The 14,354-nt window shown below is 43.9% G+C and overlaps 1 long non-coding RNA gene across 1 annotated transcript in view, besides 1 other annotated feature; it reads right to left on the bottom strand.

Moving 5' to 3' along the window:
- LOC254896 (uncharacterized) overlaps positions 1-14,354 on the bottom strand; it is a 19,204-nt gene extending 4,850 nt beyond the window's left edge. Inside the window, exons 1-2 of the long non-coding RNA NR_046173.1 lie at positions 14,164-14,354; positions 8,421-8,561 (exon numbers count right to left, since the gene is read on the bottom strand). This is a non-coding gene — a long non-coding RNA (uncharacterized LOC254896). The remainder of the gene's footprint in view (positions 1-8,420; positions 8,562-14,163) is intronic.
- Positions 13,422-14,303: an enhancer, noted in NCBI's record as "H3K27ac-H3K4me1 hESC enhancer chr8:22941919-22942800 (GRCh37/hg19 assembly coordinates)". NCBI's record gives its function as "activates a minimal SCP1, AML or CMV promoter by ChIP-STARR-seq in naive H9 embryonic stem cells {active_cell/tissue: H9 hESC(naive)}" and the evidence as "EXISTENCE:reporter gene assay evidence [ECO:0000049][PMID:30033119]".

Genomic DNA, 14,354 nt, shown 5'->3' with positions numbered 1-14,354 from the left:
GAAATGTGATCCCTGAGGTTGGTATGGGCCTGGTGAAGGTGTTAGCGTCATGGGGGAAGAACCCTCATGAATGGCTCACTGCCCTTTCCACAGTAATGAGTGAGTTCTCACTCTGTTAGTTCACTAGAGAGCTGGTTGTTTAAAGGAGTCTGGGACCTCTCACCTCTATCTCTTGCTCCCTCTCACCATGTGATGTGCTGGCTCCTCCTTTGCCTTCTTCCATGATTGGAAGCTCCCTGAGGCCCTCACCAGAAGCTGAGCAGATGCAGATGCCATGCTCATGCAGCCTGCAGGACCGTAAGCCAAATAAACTTCTTTTCTTTATAAATGACCCAGCCTCAGATATTCCTTTATAGCAACACACAATGGACTAATTTGTTGCCTATTGGTAAAATAGCCCACTAGTTCTACACCTGTGTAACCCTGCCCTGTATGAATGGATGTGCACTGAAGGGACACACTTGTTACACTAGTATTGCTGCCAGCCCATCACAGTTATTTCCAAAGTAGAAAAGTTTGAGTAGAAATGAAAACGAGGAGGAGGAGTTGCTGAGAGTAAAGGAATGAATACATGGTTTATGTAATGAGGGAAATCTTATATTACAGTAATACTGAGAAGGAGATGACATTGTCTCTTAGCTCAATTATTCCAGATATCTGGGAGGGGGAAGCTCCATGTTTGCTGAGACCTGTCCTGCTTTTAGGACCTGACAGAGGGAACGGAGGCCTGCAAACCTGAGTGGCCTCATCCTAGGAGACATTTTCATATAACATGATGATGGACTGGACTAATTATCAATGACTGAGGAGGACTAGTAACCTACCAGTATCTTTTGAGTTGCATATCGTTTTGCTGTAAGAGAGTCCAGAGACCTGGTTGTGGACCGTGAAATAATAAGAGATACATATTTGATGTCAGCTCCTGTTTCTTGCCACAAAGCTCCTGAAATCCTTGGAATCTCTGAAGTGATCAATGTCTCTTTGTACACCAGTGAGATGACTGATGGTTAGGGGCTCCTGGACAGCCTCGGGAGGGGGAACCGGCCTATGATTAGAGGGTTGAAACTTCAACCCCTGCTGAAGTTTTGCTTGGGTTTTGCTTACCTGGTGGAAGCTGCAAATGCCCTCCCCATGTCCCAGCCTCTGGTGAGAGAAGAGGGGCTGAATGTTGAGGTGATCACCAAAGGTCAATGATGTAATCACTCAAGCTTAAGCAATGAAGCCTCCAAAGAAGCTTAAGAGGACAAAGTTCAGAGAGACTCTGGGTTTGTGAACAAGTACCCATCCACATGTCGGGAGGGTGGCACGCCCTAATTCCACGAGGACAGAGCTCCTGCACCGGGCACCCTCACAACCCTGACCCTGTGTATCTCTTCATCTGGCTGTTGATTGATAATCATTAAAAATATCCTCTGTAATAAATTGGCAATAGCAAGTAAACTATGTTCCTGGCTTCTGTGAGCCAGCCTAGTCAATGATGAAACCTGAGAAGGGGATCATGGGAACTTCCAGTTGGTGGCTCCCATGTCGGGTTCCAATTAGCCTAGTTGTGGGGGGACCAGGAGGTTTCACAATGACTCAATGGCCAATGAAATTCTTATGAATTTGAAGTAGAAAAATTAAAAGATATTAATTGTCCTTATAAAATGAAAAAATACAGAAAAAGTAAAGCTGTAATGGGCATTAGTGACCACCCCCCCAAAGTAAGAGCTAAGAAAGAATATTAACTGCCTTTCTGTAAAGACAGTGAGGCATTAACCTTGTCTCTTTCCACATACCTTGTAGTTTCTGTTTCTCTTCATTTATACTTACTAAATAAGCATAAGTTACAGCACATGCTTTCCCAAAATGTAAGCTAAAGAATGTTACATGATAATTCACTGTCTTTGTTCTCCCTTCTGTAAGTCTGCTTCCAGGATCAGGTAACTCCTGCCACAAACTGCTTAAAAGGTGACTGCTTTCTTTGTCTGCTGCTCAGACTTTCAGGACACATGTCTGCTGAGCCGGTATACACCTAAAATAAAAACTCTCCTGCACCCTGATCGGTCTCTCTGGTTCCTTAATTCCCTGCAGCAAATTCACAGTTTATTGTGTGGCTTTTGCACATACACACTCATGCAAATATAGTCAACACACACAGGCGGTGATGAGACGGTGGGGAAGTGACCACAGTGAGCGTGTCAGGAGACCAGCATGCTGACTGACACACTGGCAGGTCCGGGTTTCCTCAGAACATGGACCGGTGGGGGGCTGTCGCTGCTCTTCTTCCATAGCCCATGGGAAAGAGGCCTCTGAGTTTTCATGGGCAGAGTTGCAGCAGCTGCTTGGCTGTGGTCAGGGTCTTTGCAGTTTTTATGGCCCTCTGCAGGCTTGTCTGTAGCCAAGATCTCAGCTGCATTCTGGCTTCACTTGCTTGTCTGGTCTAGGGGGTGCCTGTCCACAGCAGGTCCTCTCATCACCTCAGTCCACCACACATACGCTTCTCACTCTGAGGGGTCAGCAATTTCAATGTGGGCTGATCACCTGTCATAAGTGACTCCATTTTTAGACATTTAGGGTCACCAAACACTATTATGTATCAGTAGCTAAGTCAGACAGAAGGTGTGGATGACTTGGGGACCCTGTTTTAGTCCATTTTCACCCTGCTATAAAGGGATACCTGAGACTGGGTAATTTACAAAGGAAAGAGGTTTAATTGACTCACAGTTCACCATGGCCGGGGAGGCCTCAGGAAACTCACAATCATGGCGGAAGGAGATGGGGAAGCTGGCACCTTCTTCACAAGGCGGCAGGAGAAAGAGAAGAGAGTGAAGGAGGAACTGCCAAACCCTTATAAAACCATCAGAAGTCGCGAGAACTATCATGAGAACAGCATGAGGAAACCACCCCCATGATCCAGACATCTCCCACCAGGTCCCTCCCCTGACCCATGGGGATTACAATTCAAAAGGAGATTTTGGTGGGACACAGAGCCAATGCAAAATGAAATCTGGATGGGGACACAGACCTCCTACTTGTGATTTGCCCCTGAAGTGTGGGGAGTCTTGTGGGACTGAGTCTTTACCCTGTGGGGTCAGCACTACCTCTGATTAGTGTCAGAAGTGAATTGAATTATGGGCAGTCATCTGTTGTGGAATAATTGATCAGGGTGAAGAAAATCCACACATCTGTTCACAGAAGTGTCTTGAACTATGAACATATTGCTCACTGTAATTTGTTAATATTCTCTCAGCTAGAAGTTTGCCTTTTTGTCTGAGCCTATAGCACTCAGAGTTTTTGGTAGTAGGGCTGGTACCTCGTGTTTCTTAGATCTGTTAGTGAGTGGGACCAATGTCTGAGCTCAGATGGTCAGGCCAATATCAGATGGGTCCCTGGCAGAACATTTTTTCCTAACACATTCCTCCATTAGTTTCTAGGGGTCAGTTGATGTCAATATGGGTTGTGTGGTGTAATTTCTTTAAATATTTCATGGCTGGGAGCGGTGGCTCACGCCTGTAATCCCAGCACTTTGGGAGGCCAAGGCAGGCGGATCACGAGGTCAGGAGATCGAGATCGTCCTGGCTAACACGATGAAACCCCGTCTCTACTAAAAAATACAAAAAAAGTTAGCCAGGCATGGTGGCGGGCGCCTGTAGTCCCAGCTACTCGGGAGGCTGAGGCAGGAGAATGGTAGGAACCTAGGGGGCGGAGCTTGCAGTGAGCCGAGATCGTGCCACTGCCCTCCAGCCTGGGAGGCACAGCAAGACTCCGTCTCAAAAAAAAAAAAAAAGAATTTCATGAAGGCCTCAAAACATAATTAAATATAATTTTTAAATTTTTCTTTTCTTCTATACAGAGTATTTATGCTAAATCTTTATGCAGAAATCTAACGACTGCAGAGAGACCAGGTTCCTGAAACAGCCAATCCACACTACAGTATGTAGTGCTAGAACTCTGATTCAGGAACCACCAGAAAACAGGGTCCAGCTAGTCCCACATTAGCAAACATTTGCCATCAATCACACTCCTCATCCACACTTTTTCCTTCCGACCATGGCCTCTCCCCTGAGCGCCATGGTAAGCAGCTTCTGAAAGGGCTCCAGTGATCCTCTCTCCTGGTATTCATGGCTGGGATATAATAAGGAACATCTACTTTTTTTCTCTGCTCCTGGCTCTGGGAACAGAGCTTTAAAACATTGAAGTTTCTTGAGTAATTGTGGTGAGAGGGGCTTTATTTTTTATTCATAAAATGATTTCCAGCATTCCTGAGTTGATACTGATGAGGTGGCTCTTGCCAGAGAGGGACCAGTTACCAGTCGAACCAACCACGTGATCAGAGCACTGCAACTTTCAACACTACCACACCCCTCAGCTCAGAGCAGGGAGATGCCTGAGGACTAATCACCCGAGATTAATGATTGACGCCTTCGTGCTACGGAATGAAGCTTCCATAAACACCACAAAGTTCAGAGAAAGGGAATAATCAGTGGCTCGCTGGGGTTGGACAGATGAGAGTAACTCAGAACAATGAAGGGGAACACTACACTTTCTATATCAAAAATAATGTCCATGTACTTTACACGATGATATGCTACAAATCTAATCATTTAATAAAACCTCCCTAAGAAATTAGAGTTCATCTTATTTTATACAACTATATGCTACAAATCTAATCATTTAATAAAAATCTCCCTAAGAAATTAGAGTTCTCTTATTTTATGTTGGGCAAAGGATTTTCTAAGCTTATGACCATAAAAAAAATAAGTGTACCTATAGATTCAACTACTTAACATTTAAAACTTCTGTACATTAAAATCTAAGACAAAAAGAAGAGGCAAATTAAAAAGACTAGAAATTTGTTATTAGTATTTGGGAAGCATGGAGTCTGTCTTCCCAGACAATACACAAATCCTAAAAAAATCAGCTTGAAAAAAGAAATTCAAACAACACATCAATACATGGGACACAATTCAATAAGCAGAGAAATGCATATTGGCGTCAATTAATTATTTCCTAGTTAGCAGAAGTGAAAATCAAAGAGCAGTGATGTCAGATCTAAAGTGATGTATTGTTGGTAGGAATCACAGCTCTGTGTGTGTGTGTGTGTGTGTGTGTGTGTGTGTGTGTGTGTGTGTGTGTGTGTGATATTCTACTTCTAGGGAGCCACCTAATGAAGGTGATTAGAAATGTGGCCAAAGATGTATTCACAAATATTCACAACTTCTTTGCCCTCAGCATAATGGTGATTGAGGTTTTGGGGAGAGGAGCTGGTATTTGGGTGGAGCAGGACACTGAACTCTCACCTTTGCCCATCTCGAGAACATAGGCCATCCTCTCCATCTTTGGAGGGGGACTCACAGAATTTTATTGACTGTATGTTTTGGGGGGCTTCGAGTAGAGGCCAAATGTTAGGAAAAAGGGCACAGAGTTGAAGAATAAGGGTCGCCTGTAATGAAGGGTCACACATGTAGAGCCCTACCTAGTGGTGACTTGGAGGAAAAGGGAAGGAAAAAAAGGGAGAATTGAGCAGGAGGAAAAGCATGGTCAACTCTAAGAGGAGGAAAGATGAGACTGGAGGATTGTGGAGGATTCAAACCATAGCTCACAGCCCATGACTCCAAGTGAGGCTGAGGAGCTCATGGGCAGGGCAGGAGGGAAGCAGTGGGGAGCACAGAGCAGCCCCACCTCTCCTCTGGGGAAGGTGGACAGTGGGTGGCACGCCTGGGCCTCCCAGGAGCTGTGGGCGAGAGGGAGAGCGGGTCCTCCAGGGCAAGGGGAGCGGGAAATGGGTCTCCCAGGTGCTTCCAGGTCTGAGCAACCTGGGCCCACTGATGAGGATGCAGGAAGGGTTGACGGAGAAAAAGTGAAGGTCCGCCCAGGGTTGGAGGAAGCCACAGGAGAGGGACCATAGGACTCCCCCAGAACCAGGACTTCCCCAGAAACCAGGGCCAGTTCACCACTCAGGGACCCACTGCCTCTTCCCTGACAGCTCCATCAGAGCTGGACTGCAGCACTCAGTAGCCCCAGGTGCAGCCAGAGAACCCCGGGGGAGGCTGTGGGTGAGCCAAGCCAGTGCTGGTGTCCCTGTCCCCACATGGAGGGGAAGAAGGAGGTGCTGGATTCCAGTCCCCAAGACTATGTCACTTTAAATTCCAGGGAGTCCGGGGCAGGAAACAAGCCCCCACCGACTTCAGCAAGCCTGAAGGAAGAGAAGGCAGGGAGGTGTGAGTCACAGCAAGAACACAGCCTGTGTTACTCAGAGCTGTTTCAGGGCAGAATGGGAGGACAGGGGCAAAAAGAAAAACAAACAAAGCCTCTACACTTCTTATGTAAGTTTCCATAGTTAATTTGGTCATTAACTCATACATACCTCAGGATTTTACCCCTAATTACTGTCTTCTTATGCTTGATGTTAACAACACACTCTTCAAAGATAGGATCATCTACTGCTTTCTCTAGTGTGAGAAAAGACAAGCAAGGGAAGGTCTGCTTTTGTGAAGCAGTTCTGCCCTCCGTGCACACCGCAGAGGCTCTCTGGCCTATTCTTTTCTCCTATCTTCAAATTAGCGGATTCTTTCTTCTGCCTGATCAAATCTGCTGTGGAATCCCTCTGCTGTGTTGTTTACTTTATTTTTTTTGGCCCCAGGATTTCCACTGGGGACCTTTTAATAATTCTTATCTCTTTATGCATATTCTCTATATGTTCATACAAGTATGTATACATATCTATAGATGCATCGATGTTTCCCCAAGGGAAAGGTGTAGGTGCTGCTCTGGGTTTCCCCAGAATATTTCCCTCCAGCACCTGCCCATCCTGGAAGCCATGGGCTGCGAGCTACTGTTTTAATCCTCCGCAATCTTCTAGAACACACACACACACACACACACACACACACACACACACTCACATACACACACACACACACTTCCTTTAAATATCTGAGCATATTTAAAATTGTTGATTTAAAGCATTTGCCCAAAAAGTCCAATGTCTGAGCTTCCCCAGATATCTGTCAATTTCTTCTTTCCCTGTACATGAACCATATTTTCTTGGTATGGTTTTGTGGGTTGAATGTGTCCCCCTAAAGCATATTTTGAAGCCCTACACTCTGGTACCTGTGAATGTGATCTTTTTTAGAAATGGGTTCTTTGCAGATATAATTACTTAAGAAGAGGTCATATTGGATAAGTTTGGGCCCTAAACCCAGTAGCTGGTGTCTTTATGAAATGGGAAAACTTCCCTTGCCCCACTCATAGGGCGTGATCTTTTCACACTTGCTGTTTTTCAAGTATCTTTAACTTAAATAGTCAATATGCTAAAATAGCATATTTTAACCCCCTCATTTCCCTCGTCTGGAACTTCCCGAGAAGTTTCATGTATTAAAAGTCGAGTTGATGGCCGTGGAGAGAAGAATCAGGTTAGTAACTGAGTGGCAAGAGACCTATAAAGGAAAACAGGAACATAAATTGCAACAGGCAGGACATAAGTCTAACTATATTGCCCCATATCTTATTGAATAAGTCTTTTAGTCATGAGAAGAGTTTTATCCAGTTAGGTAGTTGTATCTCATTTTAGGAGGTGATGTTACAGGTGGTCTTTCACCTAGGTCAGGCCTCTATAAGGTGTGGTCAGTCAGGTATTTAATAAGAGGCATTTCTATGGAAACAAAAGAAAAGTAAAGGTTAATGGTTGGAGCAAATGATACAAGCCCAGTTTTTGAGTCCAGAGGACAGTCAGTTGAGATTTCTAGATGTTGGGCTTGAAGCATCTTTAGATGGAGGAATGACAAAAAGTAGTAGTAATTTTGATGAATTTCCTGGTATGTAGTTTATATTAGTTGTTCTGGTGAACTTTCTGAGCAACCCATAGAGCCACAGGCATGAAAATTGTCCATAGGTAAGTTGTTCTTGTTCCTGAAACACCAGAGTTTTGGTCTAGGTCCTGCTGCTTGATGCACAGATGGCCAATCACTGAGACAACAAGTATTCCCAGGGAAAATTAAAGGTTTATATAGCAGGGAAGAAATGTAACCATGTGCGGGAAAACAGGAATTAGAGAGGGGCAAGGAAAGTAAACATGTGTGAGAAAACAGGAACTAGAGAGGGGTAAGGAATGTAACCATGTGCAGGAAAACAGGAATTAGAGAGCAGGTAAGGAAGAGAGGCTGGTCAACAGGAAGCATGTGGTTGGTTAGGCAATTATGGTGGTGAGGGGCCTGGCATCTCACTGTTCAAATGCAGTGATCTCAGGAAGTTTCAGCCCCTTGATATTGTCTGGGAAGTTTGATGGTGGGTTTCCTGATAAAGGAACTCAGTTAAGACAAACATAACTTTCTCAAGTTCTAACACCAGGAGGATAAATTTCTATGTTTTTTCAAAGAAAACATAAACATCAGCTCTATGGGAGAATTCGGCTGGTTTCAGTCCTCCTTTCTACTTACCAACTCCCCAATCCTGGGGAACCTGGCCCTGGATCTTTCAGGATGCTTCATGCTGAGAAGGGCGTTGTGGGCAGCTCCATGCCATGGGTGACCTCGTGGCCAGCCAGGAATCACAGGTTAATCTAATCCTGCCGTTTTCTTCTGAAACACAGATTTATAAATGTTACTATTCTTTTCAAATAGCTATGCTGTCTGTGTTAATTTCTTTATTACTTTCAGGGTGTTCCTGTTTCCTATTCTATAGTTTTCCTCTTCTGATTATTGCCTTTCTTATGCTTATTCTGGGTTTATATTACTCTTCTTTCTCCAGCTTTTAAGTGGAAACCTGGATCATTGTTTTCTATCTTTTTTTCTTTACTAATATAAGCACTCATACTCTCTATGTCCTGTAGTTACATCCTATAAATTTTGATATTTTGCATTATCATTTAGTTTGAAATATTTCTGATTTCCATAAGGTTTCTTCTCTGGCCCATGGTTGTTTAAATTGCAAACATGAAAGTCTTTTCTATATCTCTTATTCTTACTGATATCTAATTCAATTCCTCTGCAACCTAAAGAATATATTCTGTACAATTTCAATTCTTTTGAATTTATCAAGACTGTTTTTAAGGCCCAGAATAGGGTCTACCTTAGTGAACATACTATATGCACTCAAAACGAATGAACATTCTACAGTTGTTCAGTATAGTGCTCTATAAATGTTTATTACCTCAAGGTGGTTGTTAATTTTTTCAGATTGTCTATGACTTCATTGATTTTTTTTTTACTGGTTCTATCAGTTGTTCAGCGGGGGATGTTAAAAATCTCTAGTTATGATCGTGCATTTGTCTGTTTCTCTCACTAATTCTGTCTGTTTCTGCTGCAAATCTTTGAAGCTCTGTTATTAGGTACACACATATTTTTAATACGTTTTTAAACTTTATTTTAGGTTCAGGGGTACTTGTGCAAGTTTATTATATAGGTAAACTTGTGTCATGGGGGTTTGTTGTACAGGTTATTTCATCACCCAGGTACTAAGCCTAGTACCTAATAGTTACTTTTTCTGATCCTCTCCCTCCTCCCACTTTCTACCCTGAAGTAGGTAGGCTCCAGTGTCTATTGTTCACCTCTTTGCATCCATATTAGGTACACACCTTTTTTTTAGTGTTATGTCATTCTGATGAATTGATCCTTTTATCATTATACATCCCTCCTTATCTTTGCTAATATGCCCTATCTTGAATCTACTTTCTTTGACATTAAGAAAGCCACACTAGCTTTCTCATGCTTTACAGTTGTGTTTTATATCTCTTCCCATCTTTTACTTTCAATCTATCTGAAGCTTTATATTTAAGGTGCATATATTTTAGATAGTTTATAATTTCAGCTTGCGTTTTTTTCCAGTTGGGGAAACTTCCTTTTAATTCGTTTGTTTATTCTGGTTACATTTATTGTTGTGGCCAAATTTGGAAAATACAATCTCTCACAACTTATTCCTTTCTCCTTTGTTTTTAAAGGATATTTTCACGGGGTGTGAATAATAGGTCAACAGGGTTCTTTCACCACTTCACACATCCTGGGCCTCCGTTGTTTTGGGTCAGCTGTCGTTCATATCTTTGTTCCCTGTGAATGCACAAAATTTGCTCTGTATGATTGACTATGATGTGTCCAGGTAGGGTTTTCTTTACATTTATTTTTCTGAGGAGTTTATAAGCTTTTTGAATTGGTAAGTTGACGTTTTTTCACTACATTTGAGAATACAGCAACCATTTTTTTCCTCATCTTTTCCAGCCATTTCTTCTTGGTCCCTGGTTCCATGTGTGGTGCGTGATATTGTACCACAGGTCACTGAGACTCGCTTCCTTGTTTTCTTTCAGTCCCATTTTCCCTTGTACTTCAGATGGAATTGTTTCTACTGATCTCTTTTCAAGTTCACTCATTCTTCTATAATGTTCAATCTCTCTCTCTCTTTTTTTTTTTTTTTTTGAAACAGAGTGTTTGCTCTTGTTGCCCAGGCTGGAGTGCAGTGGCATGATCTCGGCTCACTGCAACCTCTGTCTCCTGGGTTCAGGCGATTTGGCCTCAGGCTCCCGAGTAGCTGGGATTACAGGCATCTGCCACCACACCCGGCTAATTTTTTGTATTTTTAGTAGAGACAGGGTTTCACTATGTTGGCCAGGCTGGTCTTGATCTCCTGACCTCAGGCGATCCACCTGCCTTGGCCTCCCAAAGTGCTGGGATTACAGATGTGAGCCACCGCGCCCAGCCCTGTTCAATCTCTCTTAAGAAAATTCAAATAAACTTTTCATTTCAGAGAGTGGAATTTCCAGTTTTAAAATTTCCATTTGGTTCTTGTTTTATAGTTATCATATGTATGCCGAAATGGCTTATCTTCCACTCATATCAACAATCTTTTCTGTAGACCCAGCATATATTTTACAGCTCCCTAAAAGAGATTCTATTATGAATCAGCATTAAAAACCACTGTGAAGGCAGAAACTCTACCTAGAAGAATGAGGCTTTCTTGTTTTTGTTTTTTTGAGACAGGATCTCACTGTGTTGCCCAGGCTGGAGTGTAGTGGCGCAATCATGGTTCATTGCAGCCTCGACCTCCTGGGCTCAAGAGATCCTCCCACCTCACCCTCCTGAGTAGCTAGGACTACAGGCACAGGCCACCACGCCTAGCTAATTTTTGTAGGAACAATGTTTTGTTGTATTGCCCAGGCTGGTCTTGAACTCCTGAACTCAAGCAATCCACCTGCCCCAGCCTCCCAAAGTGCTGGGATTATAGGCAGGAACTACTGTGCCCAGCCAGGAATGAGTTACCTAATGAGGAGTAACAATAACAGAAAATGTTTATTACCTCCTGCATACAATGATTTTACAAGTATTTAGTGAGAATTGATTTTGTACCAGGCAAAATGTATGCCAAGATTAAAATATGCAGTACCTGCTCTAAGGGACTTCCCACATTAGTAGGGAAATAGTAAAACAATTGTAATAAAATGTGCTATTTTTCATAATGCTCTCTCTCCCCCCACTCCACTCCAATTATTGCTATTTCTTACTAAGGCTGTTTCTTTGTATATTATGTGTTCTGTAACCCTTTTGAAATGAATGCTCTCGTAAATACATTTTCTAAATGGTTATCTGCTATATTTTGTGCACATTCATCCACATATACATGTTTTAAATGACTATTGTTATACCTTGCAGTTTGTTAAGTATGCAATCATACTGAATATCATGATTTTTTTTTCTTCTCCCTTTCAGGAGACCTGTCTCTGTTTTTGTTCTATGTCTTGTGGCATAGGTCAGAACTCTCAGGATGATGTTGAAGGGTGTTTAGAGAAGGCAGGCATTTTGATCTTGATTTGATTTCATTGGGAAAACCTAGGCCTTTCACCATTAATTGGCTCTTGTTTTCTTACAGAAATTCTTATCATTGTGAAGTGTCCTCCTGTTCGTTCTAAGAGCCAGAATAGGTGTCTAATTATCCTAAATGCCTTTTCAGCCTCCATTGAGACTATCTGATGTTTGCTTATTGATACTATTGTTATGGTACCTTATTTTTGAACACATTTACATTCTTGGAATACGCTTTTACTTGAGATTTTCCTAAGTACCCTCAGATATATGAAAATCATTAGTCTCCTAAAAGCCAGTGAGGAAGTAGCTGTCTCTTGTCCAGGTGGTGGAAATTGCCTAAAAGGGGCAGAAAAGGACTTTCTGGGGGTGGTGGAAATTTTCTGTGTCTTGATTGCATAATAGTTACATGTGAGTATACAGTTGTCATACATGAAATGAAACACTTAAGAAGTGAACAGTTGAAACCAGATGCGGTGGTTCACGTCTGTAATTCCAGTACCGTGGGAGGCTGAGGTGGGCAGACCGCTTGAGCTCAGGAGTTCGAGACCAGCCTGGGCAACATGGGGAAATCCCATATCTACCAAAAATACTAAAATTAGCCAGGCATGGTAGTGTGCACCTAGTCCCAGCTACTCAGGAGGCTGAGGTGGGAGGATTGCTTGAGCCCAGGAGACCAAGGTTGCAGTGAGTTGAGATCGCACCACTGCACTCCATCCTGAGCGACACAGTGAGACCCTGTTTTTCTTTTTTCTTTTAAAGTGAACAGTTTACTGCAGTTAACTTATGCCTCAGTGAGCAAACAGGGACAGAGAATCAGTGAACTCTACAGGATGGGAGGTTTATCTTCATTTCCATGGAGGGGAGGTGACCTGTGCCAGGTCCCACAGCTGGCTGCTTCTCAGGGTCAGTGTTGGAATCCAGGACTCCCGACTCTGACTAAGGAGATTCTCCATTGTCTTTCACAGACACCTAAAAGCTGAAGGGTCTCAGATGAAATGGATGAATGAGTATCAGTGAATGTCATCTGTTTCTTTTCATGTTCTTTAAATGAGGCTATGCAAAACACAGACTCGAATTCCGGGCCCTCTCTGTCTCTAAGGAAGGTGGTGTGCAGTGCATTGCACACACATCTCATTTAATCTCTTCTAAAAAGAAAATAATACCAGGACTCCAAAACCACTAAGCCAAAGGGAAAAGTCAAGCAGGGAACTGTGTCAGGCAAACCTGCCTCCCACTTTACTTCTAAATAAGATAGCTACAAGGATAGAAAAGCTACATAGCTCCCTCCCAATTTGCCCACAAGGAAATTCTTTCTGGGCCTCAAGATCCTTACCCTAAAACAGTTATGCTGAGTTTCACCCTGGCAATGTACATTGATAGCTGATCTTCACAGGTGTGGGACAGAAAGTCATCCCTCTGCTCACCTGAGACTGCATATCTGACTGCTTCTTACGCCCCATTGTTTATGCAAAAATGCAGATTCACTGAGCTAAAGGCATAAGTGACTATTCCTCTACCTCTACCCTCTTACATATATGTTGTGTATTCAGTGAAAGGCTGATCAAAGACCCAAAAGAATGCAACCTTTTGTCTCTTATCTACCTATGACCTGGAAGCCTCCACTTCTAGTTGTCCCGCCCTTCTGGACCAAGTGAATGTACATCTTACACATATTGATGAATGTCTCATGTCACCCTAAAATATACAAAAGGAAGCTGACGCCAACCACCTTGGGCACATGTTGTCAGGATGGCTTAAGGTTGTGTCATGGCCGCTTGCTTAACCTTGGCAAAATAAACTTTCTAACTTGATTGAGACCTGTCTCAGGTATTTTGGGTTCATACCCTCATAGGCCCCAGATCTGGGCAGGGTTGCTCTGTCTTCGGGTTCGCTTCTTGCTCAGAGTCTGTTTGCCCCCACCTACGTCTGTTCCAGTCTCAGGGAACGAGGCTGAACTGGGTGTAAACAGAGGTCCCCTGCCCCAGGCCCTGTGCTTTCCACAGATGCAGAAGTGGCCGCCCTGGGACCTGCTCCCATGACAAGTGCAGCCCAGGCAGCCTCCTCCCTCCTCTGAGCTCCCGCTGCAGCCACTCTCTCTCCCTCCCTCCCTTGGACTCTCACCCATTTTGCTTTCTCCCTCTGTAGGGTTCCTCCATACTCCCCGGGTGGGTTCTCAGCCCTCTCTGAGGACAGATTATCTGGTGACCTTGTCTTCTGGCAGCGCCTTGGGTGCCAGGGAGGCCAGGCAGTGTGGGAGGGCTCTCTGTGGACGCGAGGTGGGTGAGCGATGGAACAGTAAGTTGGCCCACGCAGGGGGCTCTCCAGGTTCCCCCGCTGGGTTCTGGGCCTGTTGTGGGACCCTCTGCCCTTTCTGAACTGACTCCCAACTCACCTGGCTGTCTCCATGGCTTTCTCCACGCAGCTCAGAGGCTGTTCTTTGATAACTCCTGGAACCTGGTCATCAGGAGAGAGCAGGCGGTGGGAGGACAAGCGAGTCTCACGCTGGGGGAAGCCATGTTGTTCAGGCTCAGGCCTCTCCAGGACTGTGGCTGCCTCCCCTCCACGTCCTCCAGGGCGGCTGGC

This window comes from Homo sapiens, chromosome 8 (genome assembly GCF_000001405.40).
Source record: "Homo sapiens chromosome 8, GRCh38.p14 Primary Assembly".
Lineage (NCBI taxonomy): Eukaryota > Metazoa > Chordata > Mammalia > Primates > Hominidae > Homo > Homo sapiens.
This window is presented reverse-complemented; position numbering and strand designations above follow the sequence as displayed.